This window comes from Homo sapiens, chromosome 8 (genome assembly GCF_000001405.40).
Source record: "Homo sapiens chromosome 8, GRCh38.p14 Primary Assembly".
Classification (NCBI taxonomy): Eukaryota; Metazoa; Chordata; class Mammalia; order Primates; family Hominidae; genus Homo; species Homo sapiens.
In genome coordinates this window covers 132,430,385-132,456,084 of record NC_000008.11, presented here as the reverse complement: position 1 = coordinate 132,456,084, position 25,700 = coordinate 132,430,385, and the positions used below count along the sequence as shown (strand labels likewise).

Genomic DNA, 25,700 nt, shown 5'->3' with positions numbered 1-25,700 from the left:
TTTCCTCATCTATAAAATGAGAATATTAATAGTATCCATCGGCCGGGCACGGTGGCTCATGCCTGTAATCCCAGCACTTTGGGAGGCGGAGGTGGGCGGATCACGAGGTCAGGAGATCGAGACCATCCTGGCTAACACGGTGAAACCCCGTCTCTACTAAAAATACAAAAAAAAAATTAGCCAGGCTTGGTGGTGGGTGCCTGTAGTCCCAGCTACTTGGGAGGCTGAGGCAGGAGAATGGCGTGAACTCGGGAGGCGGAGCTTGCAGTGATCCGAGATCACGCCACTATACTCCAGCCTGGGCGACAGAGCGAGACTCTGTCTCAAACAAACAAACAAAAAAAAGTATCCACCTCTAAGGGTGCCGGTGAGGATTACATGAGTTAGTTAGTGCAGATGGAACACATGGACAAGTGCTGGGCACAATGAGAGTGTAAGTATCTGCTAGGACAGCAATGACGAGGACAGTGGTGATGAATCCAGGCCTCTTGGATTCTAGCTCTAAATAGAATAGGTACCAAGCTCAAAAAATGCCAACTGAAGAAACGAATAAATCTAAATGGAGGTACAGGGAGTAATACTGGGGCACCCAAGAAGAAGCATAGGCCTCTTATGTCCATATCAATATTTTTTAATTGTAGTAAAATATATGTATAACATAAACTTTACCATTTTAATGGCCAGGTGCAGTGGCTTACGCCTATAATCCCAGCACTTTGGGAGGCTGAGATAGGAGAGTCATGTGAGGTCAGGAGTTTGAGACTAGCCTGGCCAACATGGTGAAACCCTGTCTCTACTAAGTATACAAATATTAGACAGACGTGGTGGCACACACCTGTAATCCCATCTACTCGGGAGGCTGAGGCAGGAGAATCACTTGAACCCGAGGGGTGGAGGTTGCAGTCACGCCACTGTATTCCAGCCTGGGCAACAGAGTGAGACTCTGTCTTAAAAAAAATTTACCATTTTAACTATTTTTATGTGTATAGTTCAGTGGCACAGAATGTTTTTTTCATATTGTAAACTAAAACTTTGTACTCACTACACAGTAACTCACTACTTCCCCCTCTCCCCAGCCTCTGGCGACCACATTCTACTTTCTGTCTGTGATTTTAACACCTCTAAATACCTCTTATGAATGGAATCATAGAATATTTGTTGTTTTGTGACTGGCTTAGCATAATGTCCTTAAGCTTCATCCCTATTGCATCATGTGTCAAAATTTCCTTCCTTTTAGTGGCTGTATAATATTACATTGTATGTGTATATGTCATTTGTTCATGAAGGGACACTTGGGTTTCTTCATTTCCACCTTTTGGCTATTATGAGTAATACTTCCAGGACCATGGGTGTACATCACCATATCAATGCATCTAATTATGTCTGAGTTTCTCTGGCTCCTCAAGCCCATTTCATCTGCTGCTCCATGGTGGTCAGTCGGGGGAAAGGACAGTGTGGGTATCAGGCACTGAGATGACCCCTTCCTAGCTGGATTACTTTGGGCAGTTCTTTCATTCCTCTGGGTCTCCATTTCTTCGTCTGTAAAACGGAGGTACTCGTTTTACAGATTTCCTTCCTTATAGAGAATAAAGGAGAATAAAATAAAAAAGAATGTAGGAGAATAAAATGAGTTTATTTATGTAAAGCACTTGGTACAGCATTGACACAGAGCACACCTTGTAGAAATGAAGCTACTGTTATTAATATAACACTCCGGGCACACTGTACATAATTTTAATGACTGTGACCTGTTGTGGACGTGAGAGAGTGGAGGAACAGAGAGGCTGGGTGACTTGCCCAGGGACACACAGCTGTTAGGCTGTGAAGCTGGGATGGAACCTACATGAACCCGAGGACAGGCCCATGCTTTCTCTCCCAGTCCTTTTCTGGGCCCTTCTCCCTGAGCTCCAGTGGAGCTACCACTCAGATTCATCTCTCATTAGTCTCTGCCTTGGCAGGGTCTGCCATGAGCATCCTAACCAGATCATGGTTCTCTTGCAAGTAAGAGCCACGCGTGAAATGTTTTCTTTTAATCGACGGTGCCAGGCATGGTGTTAGGCATGAGGTCTGTGTTTAACAAGCACTGTTGACTAATCCCTTTGGCCTTGCAGTGTCCGAGCTGAGTTCCAAACCAAACCCCAGATGCGAACACTGGCATTGGAAGCTGCTCTCGGAAGCCTGAATGCCACTGGCTTCCGTGGGGACTGCACAGACACGCTTCTGGCAGGCGCTTGCTTGGCAGCCTGGGGAGAAGCTTTCGTCTTCTAGTTGGGCCAGGTCAGCCCCACTGCTGTTCCCCCACAACCATCCTTGCCATTTAGGATAATTTATCAGGAGTCTGTTGTGTGTGGATTCTACTCCAGGTTTTAAGTCGGTCAATGTTTGTGCTCAGAGATGATAAAAAAAAAACAGATCAATGAGAATTGACTGATCATGATCCAGCTCACAGGAAGAGAGTTGGAGGGTTTGGAGGGGAAGAGGAGGGAGCCAGCTGGCCTCTGAGCCTGCACTCAGGGACACCACCCGCCTAGAAGGAGCCTCTAGGCCAGTGCAGGCCCCTCGGTTTTAGGCCCCAGGCTCTACTGTAAGAACAGCCGAAGATACACAGAGTCTGTGCCACTGGCCTTGAGGGTCCCCACATAATAATTCCAGGCAGCCCGACCTCTCAGGCCTCATCTCCTGCAATGTCCTGACTTCTCTTCTGTCTTCTGCTCTTACCCATCCATTCTCCAACCGGCAGCCAGAGTTGTCTTTTTCCAGAGTGAGCTAGATGATGCCTTCCATGGTTCAAAGCCCTTCAGGGGCTGTCTGTTGACCTTAGACTAGTACCCGCCGTCTTCACCGAGGCCAACAGGCCCCAGATGATCCAGCCCTTGCCCACCTCTCTTCCCTTGGGTGGACCAGCCATTCCCCAGCATTCTGCTCTCCAGATCACCATGGCCCTTCCTAGACCATCCAAGGTCCTGCCTCCCCTGGGGGCCTTTGCTTTACCCGAGAGACCGCACCCTTAACTCCCATGAAGTGGCTTCTTTCGGATCCAGGAGGGGCTTCCCTGACCACCTTACTCTCAGCCAGTCTTCATTTTTATATCCTTCCAAGCACCCTGTCATGAGCTGTAATTATCATAATCTGTAAGTTACATGTTTATTTACTGATTTGTCTCCCTTCATTAAACTGAGAGCTCTAGGCAGGCAAACATCATGTCAAGTTCACTGTGGTGTCCCCAGCTCCCAGCTTGGGGCCAGACTGTAGTGTGTGTTTGTTGACTGACTGAATAACCCAGACAGACTCACTGGGATGTGTCTGGAGGAGGGTTAGCAAGGTGGCCCGAAAATGACCTGAATCCTCTATCATGCTTGACAGATTGGAGCATGCCCAGCTTGGAGGCAGAGAGTGAAGAGGACTGTGAGCCTTACCCTCAGATATCCCTAGTCCTGTCTTGTGGGTGAGGAATGGACTCTTCTGTGGTTCCCTTGGCCAGTGGAAGGAGTAATAGCAAGATGCTCAGCTGCTGAACCCAAGGATTTGGTGCCAGTCATACTTGACTGCAGGGGGACAGCAGTCTTGGAAAGCGGGTAGTGTCTCATCTTTGCCAGAAGGTTCCAGTGGAGGTGATAAAGCAGCATGTGCATGGAATACTGTTCAGCCTTAAAATGAAAGCATTTCTGACACTTGTTACAACATGGATGAACCCTGAGGACATGAGGCTAAGTGAAATAAGGCAGACACAAAAGGAAAAATACTGCATGGCTCCACTTAAAAGAGGCACCTAGAGGAGTTTAATTCATAGAAATAGAGAGTGGGGCGGTGGTTGCCAGGGGCTGGAGGAAGCAGAGAAGGTGGAGCTATTGCTCGATGGAAACAGTGTTTCATTTTGGGGGGATGAAAATGTTTGGGAGGTGGATAGAGGTGATGGTTGCACAACGATGCGAATGTGGTTAATGCCACTGAATTGCATACTTAAAAATGGTTAAAATGATAAAAATTTATGTTATGTATATTTTAGCACAGTGACAAACAAACGAAAAACCCAACCCTTGGCTGCGGTGTGAGAAACCACATACCACTGTGAGTGTTTGGGCCCAGTGACTTTAAAGGTGCCCTCCAACTCCAGGGTGTTTAGTTCTGCAAAAAAAAGAACTTCATTTGAAAATGTCCCATTTTTCTCTTGACCTGTCCCAGTTGAGGCCGCTTGAAACTACAGGCTGACCGAACATCCAAACATCCAAGCTTGTCCTCTCTCCCCACCTTCCCGCTGCTCCTGTCCTATTTTAAGGCCTGGAGACATCAGATCTCATCTCATCAGTTAAATGGAGAAAATGTCGTGGGTGAATATTTGCAACAGTTATCCATTGATAGATGTGTGCTGTGACTCTCTGCAAAACTCATCCTCTGCTGCTCCAGCGTTGGAGTCCTGTGTGAATAGACGCCTTTCTTCCTTCCTGCACCTACATTTCTGTTTATTGCATGACTAAATCTTCTTCTTCCCTGCACTTTGTACATCTGCATCCTTAGCCAATTCATTGAATATTTAGTGAGCACCTACTGATTTCCTATTCTGGAAAATGCAAGCTGTGGGGACAGTCACACAAATAGAATGTGCAGTGTGTCTCAGGCCAGTGGGCATAGAGGAGGGACAGGATAACGTCTGCCCGTGGTGGATGGTGCATTAAGAAAGTCTTCCCAAAGGAGATGCTTCTTGAGCCCGATTGTGTTAGTTTGTTCTCACATTGCTAATAAAGACATAGCTGAGACTGGGTAATTTATAAAGGAAAAAGGTTTAATGGACTCACAGTTCCACGTGGCTGGGGAGGCCTCACAATCATGGCAGAAGGCAAAGGAGAAGCAAAGTCACGTTTTACATGGCAGCAGGCAAGACAGCATGTGCAGGGGAACTCCCCTTTATAAAATTGTCACATCTCATGAGGCTGATTCACTATCATGAGAAAGCACAAGATAAACCCACCCCCATGATTCAGTTACCTCCCACCGGGTCCCTCCCATGGAACATGGGGATTATTACCATTCAAGGTGAGATTTGGGTGGGGACACAGAGCCAAACCATATTACTGATCTTGAGCGATGAGTAAAAGCTCTTCAGAAAGGCTCAGAACAAAGGGCATCACAGACGTTATTTCTAGACATTCCATCCTTCTCTGGAAAGAGCTTTCTAATCAACCCATCCTTTGATGTCCTTTTTCAGTTCTGCTTTTCTTTTCTCTCACCCCCTTCCCTTGCCCCAGTCGTCCATTGAAGGGCAGAGAAGGGAGGACGGTGATGATGAGGAAAGGAGGGAAAGCTGGAGTGCTGAGGCTTCCCTAGAAGGAGAACAAGCATGTGAGCTCCTTCTTCCTCTTCGGCTCAAAGGGCATTCACCTGCATTGGGCCTGACTCTGGTGGGCCTGCCTGTGGGAGATGGTGTGATGCCTGCCCCTCAGTGCCCTGTAGCCCTTCCACTTCATCTTCAGAAACCATTCCTCACATCCTGCTATGGAACCTGTGGCTGGAACTGCTGATTGCAAAATTGATTTAATCATGAAGCTGTTTTCCTGGGGGAGGGGGAAGGTGTTGGCAGTACGGAGGTGAGAGGTGAAGCCAGCTGGACTTCCTGGGTCGAGTGGGGACTTGGAGAACTTTTCTGTCTTACAAGAGGATTATAAAATGCACCAATCAGCACTCTGTAGTTAGGATTGTAAAATGCACCAATCAGCGCTCTGTGGCTAGCTAGAGGTTTGTAAAATGTGCCAATCAGTGCCCTGGAAAAATGCACAATCAGCACTCTGTGGCTAGCTAGAGGTTTGTAAAATAGGCCAATCAACACTCTGTAAAATGGACCAATCAGCACTCTGTAAAATGGACCAATCAGCAGGACATGGGTGGGGACAAATAAGGGAATAAAAGCTGGCCACCCCAGCCAGCAGTGGCCACCCCAGCCAGCAGTGGCAACCCACTCGGGTCCCCTTCCATGCTGTGGAAGCTTTGTGCTTTTGCTCTTCACAATAAATCTTCCTGTTGCTCACTCTTTGGGTCCATGCCACCTTTAAGAGCTGTAACACTCACCACGGAGGTCCACGGCTTCATTCTTAAAGTCAGCAAGACTGTGAACCCAGTGGAAGGCACCAACTCTGGACACAGTGGGAAGAGGGCTAGAGTTGGGGGCTGGACCCTGGGTGATGGCCTGGCATGAACTTGGGCTTGCTATGGGCCCATCTTGTACCTTAATTTCTCAGTTTGTAAAACTTTAAGGCCTCAGTGGTTCTTAACTGTCCCTTGCTCATCCGTGGAAACTAGCCTTGACCCTTGATCCTTGCCTCCCACATGTAGCCCCCAGCTCTCCCACCAAGCAGTCCATGATTTTACTTTGGGGACTTAATTCCTTCCTATTCTTCACTTCATTGTTTGGGATCAGCTGGCCTCACCTGACAATGATGACAGGTACAGGAGTAAGCACATGACCCAGGCAGGGCCAATGGTGTGGGGGGTGAATCTGAGGGCTCCAGAGGGAATACCATCAGAGATGTGTTTTCCTGTGGGGGTCTAGAGAGGTGGGAAAAGGGAGTGGCTGAGCTGGAGGACCTGAACTGGAAATCAGAACCATGAGAGGCAGAGTAGGAGCATCCTGCTGGGAGGTTGGAGGGCAGGCAGTTGGAGAGGCTGGTGTGGAGGGGGGATGGGAAATTGACCACTGTACTATGTTCACTGTAGACCACAGTGGTCTACAGTGAACACTGTAATCCGATCCTGTGGCCACTGGGTTTCACGGTCGGGAGTGGCATGATCAGATTTGTGTTTTGCAAGAGTGACTCTGCCATTGGCTGGAGAAGGGATGCGGAGGCAGGCATACACATGGTCTTTACAAGACACATTTCAAGATGACACCTAAAATTCACAATGAGGCCATTTACTAAGCTCCTGCCTTGTGCTAGGAGGTACACATGGGGCTCTAACCCACTGAATGGCTACAAACACTGTTAAACTGAATTTCATTATCCCCACATCGTAGCTGAAGAACATGCTCAGAGAGGTCCAATATTTTGCTCAGGGTCACACAGCCAGATGCAACCAGAATAGTCTACACCGAAGCCGGTGCTCTTCCTGCCGTACCGTGGCAACCTCACCAGTCTCTAACCCGTGTTGGCCTTTTTTCTCTCTCAGGAGCCTTCGGGGCCAGGGCTGACATTTGTGTTCAAGATGATTTCCTTCCTGCTCAAATAAATGCCAAACTAAATGATGGAAGTGATTCAGCAAGAAATAGAATTTGAGAGGGAAAAAAGAGCTGTGTGAAAACATTTACAAATGGATTAAAAATTTAAGTCCATCAACCCATGCCAACATACTTGGAAGTTTGGGAGATATTTTTAGACCATGAAATCCAAATGGCACAGATCGTGGGTTGGAAAGATAGAAACGCAAATAATAGTTTTCTAGCTGTGACCAGAGATTGCTTTTGCTTAGTTTTTCCTAGCTATAAAATAGCAACAATCAAAACGCAGAATTCACTGCAAGCACATCCTTCCTCCTCCTCCTTTTTACTTTTTCTTTTGTTTTCTTCTTCTTCCTCTTTTTTTTTTTTTTTTTTTTTCATATTTCTCCTTCTTCCCCCTTAGAGCTCAGCTTCTTGTTCTGGGAAAGCCCTGGAGAGACCTACGCCTACATGACGTTTGCTTTTGAACTCCCTTGACACTTTCAGAGGCTGGTAGCAGAAACCCATCTTAAACCAGCTGAGGCGTCCCAGGGATCTTGCTTGCTCATGGACCCCAAAGGAGATCAAGAAGGCCTGAGTGAGGGGTGTGGCTTTACAGTGAAGAAAAGTAATTGCCTTCCTAAGTTAGGGACCCACTGACTTAGCTGGGTTCAGGTGCCTACTGCAGAACCCTTATTCCCCACCTGTGTCTTTGGGTGAAAGGATCATAAGATGGCATGACAGCTGCTACAAAACAGGGGGCAGAATAGCTCCCAGGAAAAAGGAGGAGTGCTTGTCAAATTCTTTGACAATAGGAAGGAACGTTTATTGAGCATTTGCATTTTCCAGGCACATTTGTAGCTGCTTACCTGTGCTCTTTCAATCCTCACAACAGCCCCCACAAAGTAAGTGCAGCTAAAGGAAAATGAAAAGGGGATTTGGTTACGCTGTAGTGTGGTTGGGATGACAAATATGAGATGGTATTTATAAGTCGCTGGGGGTGATGCCCAGCAGGTAGTACTTACGCCGTGGTAACTTCTGTTTCCATCTCTTAAAAATGCTTTCAATTATTTTTATTTCTATCAGAGGAATACATACATATATTCAAGCCCAAAGTCATATAGGAAGGCAGGTTAAAAATGAAAAGCCACAGCCCCTTCCCCAGAGGCAGTCTCGTTCTTTCTGTCCTTAGAACTCCTGGTGGTTCTCCTGCATCTCTAAATCATGCGCTCGTGGCGCTGTCTCTTGATGAATCAACTTTAGGCACTTCTATTGATTTTCTGTTTTATCTTATCTCCCTTATGGTTTACGTCCTCTTTTCTTCTTCTCTCTCTCCCATAACCCAGCTCACCCGCTACTCTGCTCCTTCTTTTTCTTTAATCTCCATTACTTTTCTTTCTCCTGTTTTTTTTCAGTCTCTTTCCTCACACACAGCCAATCACTGTGTGGCCCACGCACAGGTACCCCTCCACCACCTCTTCCCCACCTTCTTCCTTTTCTTCTTTCTTGCAGTGTCTTCTCCACATCTGTGTCCTAGAAACCTTTACTGTCTGCCTGTGGTTTTCTCTGGTACCTTTATCTTGACCCTTGTCTGCCCATTCTGCCCTGCTTTAGGGTTATTTCTAGCTGTGTTACCACCACTTGTTAAAAATCTTGTTCTTGCATTCATTACCTTATGAAGCCTGCAGAACACGCCACGATGTAAGTCTTTGGATTCTCATTTTGGGGATATGAAAACAGAGCATCCTAAGATGGACTCAGAGTCCCAGGGGGAGAGGGAAAGAGCCACATGCATAGCTTATTTGGGGACCAAGTCTGATGTGACTCACCCTGGGTTCCCAGAAGGGGCTCAGGAAATGTTTGTTGTGGGATTGAACAGGAAGCTACCCTAATGGTAATGAGATGAATTGGACATTCCTCTCTGACTTCTATCGTTTGATTTTCTGAGGCCATTCACATACACACATACATGCTGTCTCACACACCACTCACGTGCTTCTGGCTTTAAATTCGTCTCCTCCTACATCTTTTTTATTGTTTTCTATTAAGCCTGATTTCTGTTTGGGAGGCAGCCTGCTTGTAACAAGCCTTTGGTAGTTTTGTCCTCCCGTCGCCTGGGATAATTTATGGGCTTGGAGAAAGGGAACTTGCCTCCTGTACTGTCAATATTAAATATACATTGCTTCCCTCACAAAATAGCATTCAGAGTTGTAATAAATCCTCTGGAAATTACCTGGAGTTAACTATGAGTTGGTTAAGTGCCAGTAATTAGCATTGCCTGGGAATTTTTGCTGACACATAGACTCATCCTGGTTGCCTTGCTTGGCTTTAATTGTATCCCGGAGCTCTAGAATTTTGGACCTGGAAGAGGTCTTCCCAGTCTAGCTCTGCTTTTCAGCTTAAAGGACGAAGAACCTGAACCCAGGGAAGGAGGGAGTTTGCTTAAGGACACACAGATTCCCAGCAGCCAAGGAGAGCAGAGTCCGGGTCTCCCAAGCTCATGTTTTCAGCCCCTTTGATCTGTTCATTTCCAGGCAGGGTGCTCTCAGGTCAAGCTAATGTGTGGCATGATGCAGTTTGCCAAGCTGTTTTGCACAGTCTTTCCAAAATTAGTTATTAATTGGGTGCTAATCTTGTTGGCCACCACGAAGGCATTGTCTTTAGAGTAGCTTAAGGTTGGTGGATCCAGGCTGAGGCATGTTGTGGAAGCCACTGCAGGGCCGTTAGCAATAAACATGTACCAGGAGGTCATCTGGTTCTTTTTCTGCTTGGAGAGGCAAACAGTAACCCAGCTTATCCCTTCTGGGCTCCCATCTGATAAAGACCTCAGCCTTTGAATAGACACAGATGATTAAATACAGTTCAGCTCTGCAAATGCCCATGGAGCACACTACTCTGTGCCCAGCATTGTGCAAGGTATCCCGGGCATATGGGCATGTAAGATGGACTTCTTGCTTGGAAAATTATAAAGTGTTTAATAGGCAGACAGATAGGGATGTAGAGAAACAGCTGAGTTCTAGCCTCAGAAACAGAGACTTGAGATGAAACCAAGGGTTTACTAACCGTATGACCTAGCCCAGTTCTGTAACCTTGGTGAGTCTTGATTTTCTCATCTGTGAAATGGGGTAGTTGTGAGACTTGAATAGGATTCTGTATGGGAAATGCCTGACACATAGTAAGAGCTCAGTAAATGATATTAATAATAATGATTTTTTGTGTGTTTTTTTGGGGTGGGTGGGTGGGGCTAATCACAGAAGAACTAAGGGTGCCCAAAGGAGGGAAAATTAATTTGATTTGGAGGATTGGGGAAGATGTCTTCATGGCTTTACTGCTTATTAGAGTCGTTTTTTTATTTCTTCTTAACTTGATCTTAGTGCCTCAGTTGAGTAATATCATTCATTCATTCACTTGATTTCCCTTAAAAATATTTATGTTGGGGATGGGGCAGGTGCATGGGGGAAATAAATGCAAGCTAATGTGTCCCTGCCCACAGTGAACGCAGAGTCTGGAGGAGAGAGGCGGGAAAGCCACGTGGCTGTGCTGCCCTGGGCCATGGAGACCTGCCTTGCCTTTCCTCCTCCTCACCTTTGCTCACAGCTGCCTCTCCTTCTCCTGATCTGGGGCCTGACCCTCTTCCTTTCTGAAAGGCCAGCTCTTTGCTTCCCCATGAAGTGACAGTGACAGGAATGTGACAATGTAATGCCACAATTAAGAGCATTTGGGACTTGGCTCCAAATGTCAGTCCACCCCTTTTCATGACACCAGTTGGTCCTTTTGCCTTTCTGAGCCTTAGGTTTTTGTGTCTATAAAACAGGCATAGAATTGTGAGAATTACAAGGTGATATTGATCGGGTGCAGAGCATGTTACCTGGAAACACCCTGAAGGCTTTAGCCCATATTACTACCCTGAAATCCAAGTCTCCTTATACTTTCTCACCAACTAATTTTGTTCTAAGAATAAAGCTCAATGTTTCTAGGTTCCTTTGTAATTTACAAAGCACTCTGCTTTGTCGAATCCTCATAATCAGGTGAAGTGAGCAGGAATTATTATTCTCTTTATTTTATATAAAAGGAACAGGCTTGGAGATGCTGATTGATGTGACAGAGTCCCATGCCTGATTCAGTCAAAGTCCAATGCCACCAAATCCCACGCTCTCTGCAATCTGCCATCCTGCAGCTCAGTTGGCGGAGCAGCACTGACCTGTGGTCAGCTGTGTCACACTGTGCATCTGTCTCATACCACATTCCCCGTAGCATTCTGTAGAGCTATGCTTATTTTAACATGCTCAGTTTGCACAACTCTATGAAGTAGGCTTGATTATTTATTCCTTTATTTTTACAAGAAGGAAGTGGAGGCACAGAAAAGTTACATGATTTTCCTAAGTTCAGTCCCAGCTGCTGGGCTGCAAAGCACCAGCTCCTGTCCTCCACACCATGCTGTCTTTTTATTATGAGTTTGTGCCTCATTATTTGGAATAAAATCCTTGATTCAACGATATTCAGTGTAGACCCTTCACACGGGGCAGGACAGATGACCCCAGTTGTAGCACGAAGGCACAGAATCAGAACTCAAAGTGCAGAAACAGAGCTTAATGCCAGGAACCAGTTGGTGGCTGGGTGAGGAGGGCAGGAGGGAGCACACAGGAGACAGGTGCAAAAGGATTAGAGGGGCATGAGCTAAATCACATGAGATAAATGGGCTCAGCAACCCACCCACGTCCTCTGAGCACTCACACCCCTTGGGAAATAGGGGTTGATGGAGTGGTAGCATCCTTTCTGTGTATTGCCAGAGGTGGACCCTGGAACCAGACTGCTGGGTTCAACTCCCAGCTCCATAACTTGCCAGTTGTGTCACTGTGGGCAAGTTTCTGAACCTCTCGGTACCTCTTGGGTTTCTGATAAGAAGAAAAGGGGGCAATGAACTGTGCTTGTCCAAGGGGCTTGGTAAGAGGATTAAATCACTTATTATTTATAAAGTGCTGAGAACAATGCTTGGCCCTTAGCTGTGTGAAAGTAGTTGTTGAGTAAATAAGACAAATGGGGGGGTAAAGAGTGTCAGAGGGCTGGGTGACCTGACCAGGGTCATAGTGGGTACTGGAACGGGACCTGAACTCAGGGCTCCTGGAACTCACCCCGTAGAAATCTACACTGTTTGCCTTATATTTCACTACTGGCTGCAAAATTAAGAAAATGAAACAAAATGCAACAAAAAACATCTACCCCAGTAGTTCTCAGTGGTTTGGAGATGAGATGAAGCTTTTCGAAATAAGCATCCAAATCAGCCTTGTGTATCTGTGCTGGGGAGGGGTGTGTTTGGAGGAGTGAGGTAGGAGTGTGGGTAGTGGGGGATGATGGATTTTTAACAAAGCCCTTTTCTCCATGTATCTTTTGAGAACTCTGGCTGTCACTTGTCTCTGACACGTGGACATCTCCATCCAGGCCCCTTTTTAAAACCTTTTGATTCTCATTAATGCTGGTTTTCAATTAAATTATTCTTAGCCCTAGAAACTACCCAATTAAAGAAGCAATTTTCTGTACTTTCCCTGGAAGTGATTGCTTACCTGGTTTGGTGGTGCCTTTAGCGGTGAACAAAGCCAGAGCGAATACTCCTGGGCCACCGGCTCTAATTGGTAGTGCTGGGGGTGGAAGGGATGGGGAGGGGTGTGATTCCCATAGGTGGGGGTGGATTTCTACAAAAGCTAACCTGACAAAGAAATTGGCTAGCCAAATGCCAGTCCTCCCCGACCCCCTCCCTACCTTTATTTCCAAAGGTTATGCTCAAGCGGGGCCTTAGCAATAGCTCCAATTTGTAATTCTAATTTCCTTGGAAATAGGGCTAAATAGAGCATTTGTCATTTCTCTCCATGTGGATTACCGGCCGCAGATGAGGATTTATGGCCTGAGCTGCTTCGGCCTCAGGAGCCTGTCTCTGGGGCTGAGATAGGGTGTCTGAGCACAGATTCGGGGAGAGGGTGTTGCATAGGGAGAAGGGGCTGGGTGTTGTCAGTTAAAAATATCTCAAACATTTTTTTCTCTAAATCTAGAAGAGAGAAAAAACCATGTATCCTGTTAAAGCTTCAGGTTGCCTGGTTATGAATAAAATAAGAAGCAGGAAAATGTTCAAAGGGAAATGCTTTGAGCACTGTGGGAGTGGTTTTTCTGCCCTGGATATTTCTTCTGGGAGAGAGAATGCCTTGACCTCATAGGTCAGTTGAAGACCAAGGCCCGGGTAGGAGCTCATGCGGCTCCCCGGGGTAGCTTGTATGGGGAACTAGGAGAAAATCTGGCCCACCTTGTTGGAAGCTAGAGTTTGAGAAGTTTGCCATTGGCATTTAGAGTCCATCTTTGCAGCCGTTGGTGCATTCTGAAAATACATTTTAGCCCTTACTCGTTGCCAGACTCTGTGCTAGGCACCAGGGAAACCAGTGGGGAACCCACACCAAATGGTTCTGCAGCTCCATGGAGTTTGTAGCCTGGTGGGGGAGACAGACATTGATCAAGGAATTACAAAAATAAATGTCAAATTACCCCCTTGCTAAGCTCTCCAGAGGAGAGGTGCCTAATGCATAAAGGGATTTATACTCCTGGGACAGCTCAGAGTGGGCTTCACAGATGCTGAAACTGAGATACATATGGAGGAAGAATCCGGTTTACTTTCTTTTTTTAAACTTTCATTTTAAGTTCAGGGGTACAAGCACAAGTTTGTTACATAGGTAAACTTGTGTCATGGGGGTTTGTTGTACAGATTATTTCATCAAGCAGGTATTAAGCCTAGTACCCATTAGTTATTTTTCCTGATTCTCTCCCTCCTCCCCACCTCCACCCTCTGAAAGACCGCAGTGTATGCTGTTCGCCTCTGTGTGTCCATGTATTCTCAATCATTTAGCTCTCACTTATAAGTGAGAACATGCAGTATTTGTTTTTCTGTTCCTGTGTTAGTTTGCTGAGGATAATGGCCTCCAGCTCCATCCATGTCCCTGAAAAGGACATGATCTCATTTTTTTTATGGCTCCATAGTATTCCGTGGTGTATATGTACCACATTTTCTTTATTCAGTCTATCATTGACGGATATTTAGGTTGATTCCAGAATGGCTGCTATTAAAACGTCAAAAAATGACATGCTGATGAGATTTCAGAGAAAAAGGAATGCTTATACACTGCTGGTGTGAGTTTAAGTTAGTTTAGCCATTGTGGAAGGCAGTATGGCAATTCCTCAAAGACCTAAAGACAGAAAGCCATTCAACCCAGCAATCCCATTACTGGGTATATACCCAAAGGAATATATATATATATATTTGTTTGTTTGTTTGTTTGTTTTGTTTTGTTTTTTGATTTTTGTTTTTTTGGAGCCAGAGTCTCGCTCTATCGCCCAGGCTGGAGTGCAGTGGTGCGATCTCGGCTCACGGCAAGCTCTGCCTTCCGGGTTCACGCCATTCTCCTGCCTCAGCCTCCCGGGTAGCTGGGACTACAGGTGCCTGCCACCGCGCCTGGCTAATTTTTTATTTTTATTTTTAATAGAGATGGGGTTTCACTGTGTTAGCCAGGATGGTCTTGATCTCCCGACCTTGTGATCCACCTGCCTTGGCCTCCCAAAGTGCTGGGATTACAGGCGTGAGCCACTGCACCTGGCCTACCCAAAGGAATATTAATCATTCTATTGTAAAGACACATGCACACATATGTTCATTGCAACACTATTCACAGTAGTAAAGACATGGCATCAACCTACTTTTGAGGTCTTCAAGTGTTGGGGGTGGGAAAGAGTGTACTGGGCCCCACCATTGCTGCCAGTCTTGACTGTGGCATGTGGGGCAGGTAAGTTACTTCTCCTCTTGGAGCCCCAGTTGTCTGGTCTGTAAAATAGAACTAATCAAATCCACTCCACAGTTTCTGTGATAAGAATAGAGAGTTAAGTGCAGGTCGGATATCTGGCAGGCCCTAAACCTTAACAGGTGAGAAGCAGAGTTCTGATTTCTTGATGGCAATGCCATACCCCTTTGAGCAGAAGGTCACTCATGGTCCCTGATAAATACAGTGTCACCTTTGAATAGGACTTGATAGGGCTGGGCTATGTATTTTGCAGGGTTTGGCCCACTTTAACATTCTGTGAGGGTGGCAGAGTGGCATCTGTCTGTGTTGCAGGAAGAAGCTGACTTCAAGGGGTTAGTAACCCCCCTCCTGTGTGTGCACAGTTGGTAAGGGGCAGAGGTGGAGTTCGAATCCAGATTGAGGCTGTCCAAAGTTAGTGTATTTTCTCCTCCTGCTTCCTTGTCTTCGTGGCGTGGGGAAAGGGTCACGTAACCCCTCCAAGCCTCAGTTTCCCACGACCGACATGGAGAACTACGCTGCACAATGGGGCGGTGACCAACACATTCATGTGTTCACTCTTCAGGGCACATTACACTGTGCGGGGCCAGGCTCTGGGCTTGGACACAGAGGGAAGGAAGGACTCAAGGCCACCCCTCAGGGCTGCGTTCTAGTGTGGGAAGACAAACACATGCCAGGAAATGAGGGGACGCCTGATACTGCAGGACCTGGTCAGCGCCATGAAGGACAGCAGGGAAAACGGTGGAAAGACTGTGCAAGTGCAGGGCAGCACTTCATCTGTGCTGCTGGCAGCTTCTCTCTGTTAAGATGACTTTGAGCAGAGACTGGAATGAGTAAAGGAGAGAGCCACAGAGATGACTGTTGGCATCCAAGAGTTCAAACCAATGGCAAATGGAAAACATTCAGAAAAATAAAAATGAACAATACAGCAATAAAACATGACACAAATTAAAAAGAAACAATTCAGTATAATGACTACTGACATAGCATTTGCATTGTATCAGGTATTACAGTAATCTAGAGATGATTTAAAGTATACGGAAGGATGTTTGCAGGTTCTATGCAAATAGTACACCACTTTGTATTAAGGATTGAGCATCTGGGATTGTGATATCCTCAGGAGGTCCCAGAACCAATCCTCTATGGACACTGAAGGATGACTGTAGTTTCCTACTTCTGTGTAACAAATTACCACAAATTTAGCAGCTTAAAGCAGTGTAAATTTGTTATTTTACATGTCTGAAGGTCAGAAGTCCAAAATAGGTCTCACTGGGGTAAAACAAGGTGTCAGCAGGGCTGTGTCCCTTCTGGACTCTGGAGAGAACCTGTTACCCTGCTTTTTCCAGCTTTTGAGGCTACCTGCATTCCTCAGCTCATGGCTCCTTCTACCATCATGAAAGCCAGCAGCACAATCTCTCTCTCACTCTGACTCCTCTCTGCCCCCTCCTCTGCTGGAAAGGAACCTTGTGGCTGTGTTGGGCCCACCTAGGTAATCTGGAATCATCTCTTTAGGGTCAGCTGATTACCATACTTTGTTCCTTCAGCAACCTTGACTCCCCTTTGCCATGTAACCTAGCATAGCACAGATTCTGGGGGTTAAAACATGAATATCTTTAATGGAGGCTTTAATGGAAGCACCTTCTTTCTCAGTGAGAAGTCCTGCTGGGGAGTCAGGGGGCTTGCCATGAAGCCGCGGTCCTGCTGCCTAACTGCTGGGAGACTGTGGCTCTTCATCTCTCTGAGCCTTCCATCTTTAAAATGGGCACTGAAACTTAGATTTATAATTGTGCAGTAGACTTCAAAAAGGTTTGCTGGGATGAATTGAATTTCCGGAGTCTGGTTTATCCTGATGAGTTTGCCGCTCAGTCCAGAAGTCATGTTACTCAGCAGGGGTAAATCTTGACTTTGCCAGAATGGGTTAGGGATGTGGGAAATCTAAACCCAGATGAAAAAATTGGTTCGGCATAAAGCTTGGTAGGAAGTATGGGGGTATTGGGAGCTGGCGTAAGTGGGATGGGTATTTGGGTCATCCAGGGTTATAGGATTTCTTCAGAAAATAAGGTACAAAGAGAAACTGCTTTTGGCCTCCGTCACACTGCGGCTGAAGACTGCCACTAGATAGCAGAATGTTCAGCCAGGCTGGAAATGGTTAAACAAAATGTTACATCTGGCTGGAATGGACCTTAAGGTCACTTCATAGAAGTCCACATGCAATGCTTGAATCTCTTCTTCAAGAGCCCTGAGAGTTGTAGCCTAGACTGTTCATGAACCTTCTTAGTGATAGGGAACAACACACGGCAGCTATCCTTAGAGAGTCTTACGCTGACCACATTTCCTTTCATTGACCTGAGCTCAGTCTCGCTGTCTCTTTCCACAGTATTAGTTTTTCTCCATGAGCGCCACAGAGAATGACCAGACCACCCAAGCCAGGGCTCTCCTAGCAGCTGACCACCATCCATCATCACTCTCAGAGATGTTACTGGTCCATCACCAAGCAGCCGCACCCACACGTTGCAGGGGTTCCCTTGGGTAAGGAGCCTGGCCAGGGCCTCTGGGTTCTGAGCACATCTCCTGTTGGTCATCACAGACCACAGAGAAATCAGGCAGAACTCTTCCTCAGGAAAATAATAGAGGGCCCAGTGGAGTCCCTAAGTTCCTCAGATAGAAGGAGGAATGGGCAGGGTGGGATCGGGGCAGAGACCTTAAATCCTGCCACTGTTTTCTACTGCATTTGGAAGCAGCCCAGGAGCTCCAAGGATTGAGACAGCTTGGTCCAAATGTCAGAAGGAGACTTCAGTGTATCTGAGGACCTGAAAGAGGCAGGAATTCTAGTCTTATATAATACAGACTTGAATAGAAAGCAAATTTTCCTGAATGTATTTCTCATAAGAAGAATCACCTTATAATAGAAAGCAGTTTTTCCTAAATGTATTTCTCATAAGAAGAATCACCTAATAATTGAGTCCTTACAAAATTTTTATTATGTGGCACCATCTCAGTTGTTTTATTTTGTGACAACAGGTTACAACAGGTTCTTTGAGGAAGGGGCACATTTGCCTGTGATATAAACATAGTAGTGCTAGTTTTAGACACTTGTAGCAGTCACTCAATGGAATTGGCTTCATGCACACACACAAAGCTGCTTAATGGATTAAATCATTTTTCCTGGGGCAATGTTCTTACAAATGCAAGTTAAACTGCTGTGAACAATTATTTTAAAGATCTATGAAAGAAAAACCTCAGTAGAGTTAGTGGTTATAGTGTAAGGATCCTCAAAGATGGATGGGTATTTGGGGCCTGGGACAGAGTTTTCAGTGACAGCATCACGGATGGCTTCAAAAGATGTATCTCTCCCAAGCAACCTAGATGTATGAAAATACGGTGCATGAGAATACAGGATGCTCTGGAAAACTGAGTTGAGGAATTAGAGTGTATAGAGGCATCAGAAACAGTGATATCAAAGAATAAATGGTTTCACCAAACGAGTATGGCAAATTAGAAATATTTCTAAATGAACACATATGCAGAGTATTAAATTTCTATGTGTAAACTAAATTAATACATTAAATGTTAGAAATAGACACTTAGCTTTTCAAAGAACAGGCACATTCAGTATTCCATGTTCACCTGCAAGGGAGGCAGGAGAGGAACCACTGTCCCCATCTCATATTTTTGGAAACTGAGGCACAGAGACCAGCCATGAGTGGATGCCAGAACTAAAACCTTAGGCCTGTCCCCTACACCACCCCACTCTTTTTTTTTATTTTTTTTATTTTTTATTTTTATTTTTTTTTTGAGACGGAGTCTCGCTGTCGCCCAGGCTGGAGTGCAGTGGCGCAATCTCGGCTCACTGCAGGCTCCGCCCCCTGGGGTTCACGCCATTCTCCTGCCTCAGCCTCCCGAGTAGCTGGGACTACAGGTGCCCGCCACCTCGCCCGGCTAATTTTTTGTATTTTTAGTAGAGACGGGGTTTCACCGTGTTAGCCAGGATGGTCTCGATCTCCTGACCTCGTGATCCGCCCGCCTCGGCCTCCCAAAGTGCTGGGATTACAGGCGTGAGCCACCGCGCCCGGCCCACCACCCCACTCTTAAGAGAAGCAAACTGGCACAAAAGATTAGTCCAACTCCTGAAAAGCCTGTCCTGAAAATGACAGCAGGCCAAAGACAAGAGACACCTGGGCTGCCTGGAGTAAGTGGGTGGAAATCTGCGACCCCCAAAAGGTCCCTTCCAGCCCTACCTTCTGAGGACTGAGCCCAGGGAGAACTAACCACTACCAAGGGTTTTCTCTGTGGCTTCCTGATCCTCCTGGCACAATTTAAAAAATTATTTCAGTTTGGCTATTTTACTTCTTAAGGATTAAAAATGAGTCTTTAAAAGTGTGGAGAAACAAACTCAAAACCTCACGTGAAATACATAGCAAAAATGAAATTCCAGTAAAATATAAGGACATTGAAACAAAGAAACAAAAATATTTGCCTGGCCTGAAGAAGATTCCTGTACAAATAATCCCCAAACTAGTTAGTGTCTACAGAAGCTGTTTTTTCATTCATTGTAAGGTAAGGTATGGTATCATTTGAAGAGAGATTTAAACAAAGTCGAACAACATACTGCTGTTTTCAGTTTTTCTCATAATGTACAAGCATTAAAATTCAAAAGAACTTGAGGTATTCCGCATGGATCTAGATACTGCTTAAGAAATATTGAAAATGTTTATTAGTGATGGTGATTTATATGATCAAGTTAAAAAATTTTATAGCATCTTCTGTGATATAACAGGTTATATATGTAACTCTCTTATAGTGTTTCAATGTGGTAATGTGAAAATTAAGGTTCATTTCCAAACCTAAGTATTTACAATTTTATTGATAATTCCCTTCTCCACATTAAAGTTAATTAAAAACTAAGAAACTACATTAATTCAAAAAAGGTTGTTTTATCTGGCATTATGTCAACAGAGTGCATATTACATGAAAATCTTGATTATAGACCATAATTAATGCTTTTCCTGGAATGAAGGCAAGGAAATTTCATGGAAAAATATGTAATCATTATGAGATGTTTTAAAAAAGCCATTTAATAAATTTGGACACTGCCTCTCTTTCAGGGGCCAACCCTGGCAGAGCTGGGGCAGGACCGTGGAAGCTGGCGGGGCAATACAAACTTGGCTGCAATGCCAAATGATGAGGACAAGACTAGGGGGTGAATAAAGGCTGAGAGCCTTCCGCCCTGAGGTTCTTGAAAAAATGGTGGCCCACACCTGTAATCCCAGCACTTTGGGAGGATTGTTTGAGATCAGGAGTTTGAGACCAGCCAGGGCAACATAGTGAGACCTCATCTTAATAAAATAAAATAATTAAATAAATATAAATATAAATTTTAATTTGGAAAAGAAGAAAAAAATGGTCTATGCTTGCTCTCTCGCTACTTCCTTGAGCTCCTGTTCACTACTCGGTCTAGGTTTGAACGCAGTTTGATTTTGGGCTAATTACTCTCAGCTCCTTTATCAATAAAGCAGAGATAACAAACATATCCCCCAAAGGTGCTTTGAAAATTGAATGCACCAAAGGCAGTCTACAGAGGTTAAGGTCGCACAGATGGAGGTTAATATCCTGATTCCCATGCTTGCTGAGTGATTCCTTAAGCTCTCTGAGCTTTAGTTCCTTAGCTGTAAGGAGATCCCTCCCCGCCTCTGGCTGAACTGGTCGGCTGGCACGGTGGCTCTGAGCTTCAGTTGCTGGAACGACCCCAGACCTGTTCTTGTACCATTCCTTTACTCACTGTTACATTCCACAGAATATTTGAGCATCTATTGTGTCTGTAAATGTGAATACACTGATAAATAATCAAATAAAATAAAACAAAGAGAATAATGATCAGTGGGAGCATTGGGTCCAGGAGGTCCTGGGCATGCTCCTTGAACTTCTCACATCCTTTCTTAACTGTCAGTGTAGGGGCTGCTGTCCCCCACCCAGGCCTGTGCTGGTTCATCCTTGCATGCTCAGCACTGAGGCAGCACCCCTGACCTAGGTGGCTGCTCAGTAAATGTGTATAGAATGAATGAATCCTTTCTATGGTAGGCTATAGGTTTAAGAGAGCTGAACTTTGGGGCCAGAAACTGTTCAGACTCAGAAAAATTTACAGAGGTTCAAATTGGTTTCAAGTAATAATGACCCCTACCTAGCCTTTAAGAGGCAGCCTCTTCCGGGGTCACCTCCTTTCTGAGGCCTTCTGTTGTTTCCATGGCTCACAAATCCATTTTTCTCTTACCTCTTTCAGCATTTGCCATCCATAGTGGACAACATTTGATACTGACTACATGATTCTTCCTTGCCCATGTCTAACTATTGCTCTCTAGCGTCCTATAAGCTCCTGGTCTTATCTGAGATGGCTCTGAAGTTTCCTGCATTCACATCATTTTGATTTTGCTTAAAACTTTTGAGTTTGGGGCATCATCTCCAAAAATAGTTTAACTTCTCTAAGCCTCCATTTTCTCTTTTATCTAATGGAGATAAAAATACCTACCTGAGAAGGTTGACCACATGAACTGACTCATTCATTCAGAAAGTATTTTTCCAGCATCTACTATGTGCCAGCCACTGTTCTAGGTGCTTGGAATAGATCTGTGAGCAAAAGAGAAAAAATAACCTCTTCATTCATAGATTGTACATTCTAGTTAGGAGTGGCAGGCAGGTGATAGATATAAAATGTAAGACAATGTTAATAGTATGTTAAGCAGTGATAAAACCTACAAAGAAAAACAGAGGAGGAGATGGATGATGGAAAGACTGACCACAAATTAGCAACTTAAAAATATCATGGAAATATTTGTTTATTATTATTATTATTTTTTTTTTTTTTTTTTTTGAGACGGAGTCTCGCTCTGTCACCCAGGCTGGAGTGCAGTGGCGGGATCTCGGCTCACTGCAAGCTCCGCCTCCCGGGTTCACGCCATTCTCCTGCCTCAGCCTCCCAAGTAGCTGGGAATACAGGCGCCCGCCACTACGCCCGGCTAATTTTTTATATTTTTAGTAGAGACGGGGTTTCACCGTTTTAGCCGGGATGGTCTCGATCTCCTGACCTCGTGATCCGCCCGCCTCGGCCTCCCAAAGTGCTGGGATTACAGGCATGAGCCACCGTGCCCGGCCTATTATTATTTTTTATTTTATTTATTTACTTAGTTTTGAGATGGAGTCTTGCTCTGTCACTCAGGCTGGAGTGCCGTGGCACGACCTTGGCTCACTGCAACCTCCGCCTCCTGGGTTCAAGTGATTCTCCTGTCTCAGTCTCCTGAGTAGCTGGAATTACAGGTGTGCACCACCACATCCAGCTAATTTTGGTACTTTTAGTAGAGATGGGTTTTTGCCATGTTGGCCAGGCTGGTCTCGAACTCCTGATCTCAGGTGATCCGCCTGCCTTGGCCTCCCAAAATGCTGGGATTACAGGTGTGAGCCACCGTGCCCAGCCTATTAGTTTATTTTTAAAATCTATACTAACAAAAATAAAGCAATCATCAATTCAGTACACTCTCATAAGCTGCCCTAAACTTCCACAAAGGCAGCATCCAGCACTCCCACATGTGTTGGCCTTGGCGTTGATTTCTCCATGGCGATTTTCAGAAATGAGAATGCTGTGTCTGCGGTCAGAGATGAACACATTCTTGTTGGATTGAAAAGAAAGCAGATACAAAAGGAAATGGAGAAACATCTGGCTGTTCCCAGTCCTTCTCTGCTGGGTCAGAACAAACTCACACATCAGTCAGGGGTTGTTTTTCATGAACAGAATGGCTAGTGGTGGCTTTTCATTGAATTAGGAACTGGGAGGGGCTAATGATCCAGATGAGTGGGGTTGAACTGGGAGGGGCTAATGATCCAGATGAGTGGGGTTGACTTCTAGGACATTTCCAATCCAGACACTCACAATAAAGTATGAGGTAACCTCCTGGAGAATTCAGGAGGCCTCCTCCAATTCTCCTCCAATATGGTAAGATTCTTTGACCCCAATTTCTTTGGGCATTGAACAGGTCAATAATTATGATAACTCAGAATGGGGATTCTTCATCTACCATGTAGGAAAGACCATTTGTGATTTTATCTAACCCAGAATTTGGCGTTATGTAGTTGCCGTGTCTGTTTGTGTGTTCTCTTCAAGTGGTGGCAAATTATTCTTAGCATGAACTGGGGCATTTGTTCACCAAATTCTCCTTCAGCTCTTGACCTGTGCCTGGCACAAGAAAGACATCCTACTAATTCTTGCCCTCGTGAAGCTTTTATTCTGGTGAAGAAGACAGGCATTTTTAAGTGAAGGATTGCAATATTGCTTGGTAAGTGCAGTGTGTCCAGAGTGGATGACAGAGATAGGATGTGAGGGGGAAGAAGTAGGCAGGACCTAGATGATGAATGGAGTCCTAAGTCCTGTTAACAGAGTAGGGAATGTTTCAGCAGTGGAGTGAGAGAACTGGCTTTGCACTGGAAGGGTCACTCTGCCTGTGGAGTCGAGTTTGGAATGGAAAGGCAAGCCTCTTAAGGAAGGAGATGAGTTAGGAGGCTAGTGAAGCTATTATACTGGAATACAGAAAATTGTGCATGTCCTTCAACCCAGAGTGTTCAACTTTAATGTATTTAATACATTTTTGATTGTTTTAACCTCTGGACTTGAAAACATTGTCCAATATTTTGACAGATCATAGTTTTGTTATGTTCCAGGTTTTTTTTTTTTTGCCGTATTCATTTTCTGCCTTAGGCCCTAGATGTCTTAGCTGGTCATATCTCTACCACTGGAGAGTTGAGTTGCCATGGATTATTTCCCTGATCCTGATTAATTCGATTCCAATTCACTCTGCAAACGTGCACTGAGGGCCTGCCAAGTGCCCCATCCCATCCCAGGTGCTGCTGATATGATGACAAGTATGAAGTGGTCCCCTGGGGATGTGAATTTCTGTTTTGAGTCAATGGAGAATTAATAGGAAAACTTTGGACAAGCATCAAATTCAGTTAAATGAAATCAGAAAGTGTTGTACCTGTGGTTCTCAATGATCCCTCATAACAACCCTCTGAGGGAGATGTGCTTTAAATTGCTTTGGAGAAGCCAATATTGATGCCTAGAGCTGTGAGGACACTTGCACAAGGCTGCAGTTAGGTTTTATCAATGAGGTGTGAATCCAGGCCCCCGGACCCAGTCAAAGATCATGGATGGAAAGAGTTCAGCAGGTGCCTGGGTGGGGAGCACAGGGCTGGCCTAAGTGTGCTTCTGTCTGGGATCTCCATGTAAGTTGGGATACTACCCAGGGAGTTGCTTGTCTAGGTCCCAGCGGGAACGATGAAAACAATTTCAATAAGGCCATGACAGTGAAGAATCCCCAGATGTTTCACCCTGAAAGCACTGTTTATTTCTGTCTTCTCCCAGTCTGGGGGCCCTGGAGCCACCTGGTAAGGACCACACCAACCACAGTTCAACCCATACATATGTTTACATGGGGTCCTCTCTCAGGTGAGCCAGGCTCCATGGGTCAGTGAGACAGAAGAGGCTGGCCCTGCCTTTCTGGATAGACTCCCGCTGAGCTCTGAGCTCTGAGATGAGCTGGCCCAGGAGATTCAGGGACATCACCGACCTCCCTAGAGACCAGAGCTGGCCAGGGATGCCTGTGTGTCCCCCGACTCTGAGGAGGTGGAATCTGGATGGGCGTTTTACTGGAACGTTGCAGCAAGAATCAAGCCTGGAACTGAAAGACTCACTCTTACCATCCCCAGTGCCTCCAGATCCTGTGGGACAATGTGATTCTGATGTGAGTAGCAGCAGGAGGGAAGGGAGATCCTCTCCCCGGCTAGTGACACATGGGAATGGTCCACATCAGTGACAAGGACAAACTCTCCTAGGGAGAGTAGGGAACATGGGTCCTGATGCGTGGTGTTTGGGGTTTCAAGGGATGCAAGAGGCCTCCAGGAGGCTGGGATGAGCTGGGCTTGGCACTGCTTGGAGAAGGTTCTGGAGCCTAGTGCAATCAAAGATGGAAGATGAGGAGCTGCTCTTAGACACAAAGCCAGGGGATTACCAGGAGATTGCCATTGTCCAGCGTATTCTTGGGAGAAGGGAAAATTGGAAGGAGTGAGTGAACCCCCAGGTTGGCAGCCAGAGAAGGATATGGACGCTTGAGGAACAGCAATGCTGAGCGACTCTATTGAGCCCCCTTTTACTGACGTCCCAAGGAGACATCAGGGACAAACATGTTGGAAGGTGTTGAGGAAGGACAAACGGAACCACCACTGAGATGTGTTCATTTATTAGCTTTTGAGAGTTTAAATGGAAATATCTTCCCGTTTCTGTCCTGTAGGGAGAGGTACACTGCGCTGAGCAAACACTTTCTGTTTCCGAAATAGACTCATTGTCTGTCTGCATGGGGAGGAACTCCTGGTGATGACCGGTTTCCTCACTGCTGCAGAAGTTCATCTTCAGGAAAGGAGTGGTTTAAAAATGGATCAGAACTTGCACAGACTCATGGTCTAGGACAGTCGGGAAGGCCCCGCTGATGGATCCATTAGCTCAACACTTGATTTCACACAGGAGAAAATGGAGCCCAGTGGAAGGAAATGACCTGCTCAACATCATGTAGCAGGTTGGTGGGACACCCAGGGCTGGCACAGGGACCTTTGGCTCCTGACTCAGTGACCTTTCTCTACCACATTATTGAGAC

At 45.6% G+C, this 25,700-nt stretch overlaps 1 protein-coding gene across 4 annotated transcripts in view; it reads left to right on the top strand.

Annotated features, from left to right (window-relative positions):
- The window catches only part of KCNQ3 (potassium voltage-gated channel subfamily Q member 3), a 360,235-nt gene that overhangs the window by 25,011 nt on the left and 309,524 nt on the right, over positions 1-25,700 (top strand). The window contains exon 1 of one of the 4 annotated variants that reach the window (XM_011517026.3): positions 7,584-25,622. The exons of 2 other annotated variants lie outside the window; for them this stretch is intronic. In XM_011517026.3, the coding sequence (XP_011515328.1) occupies positions 25,597-25,622 (26 nt within the window). In that variant the 5' untranslated portion in view covers positions 7,584-25,596. Of the gene's footprint in view, positions 1-7,583; positions 25,623-25,700 lie in introns of those variants that run through there. One more of the 4 variants, NM_001204824.2, reaches the window with a different exon arrangement.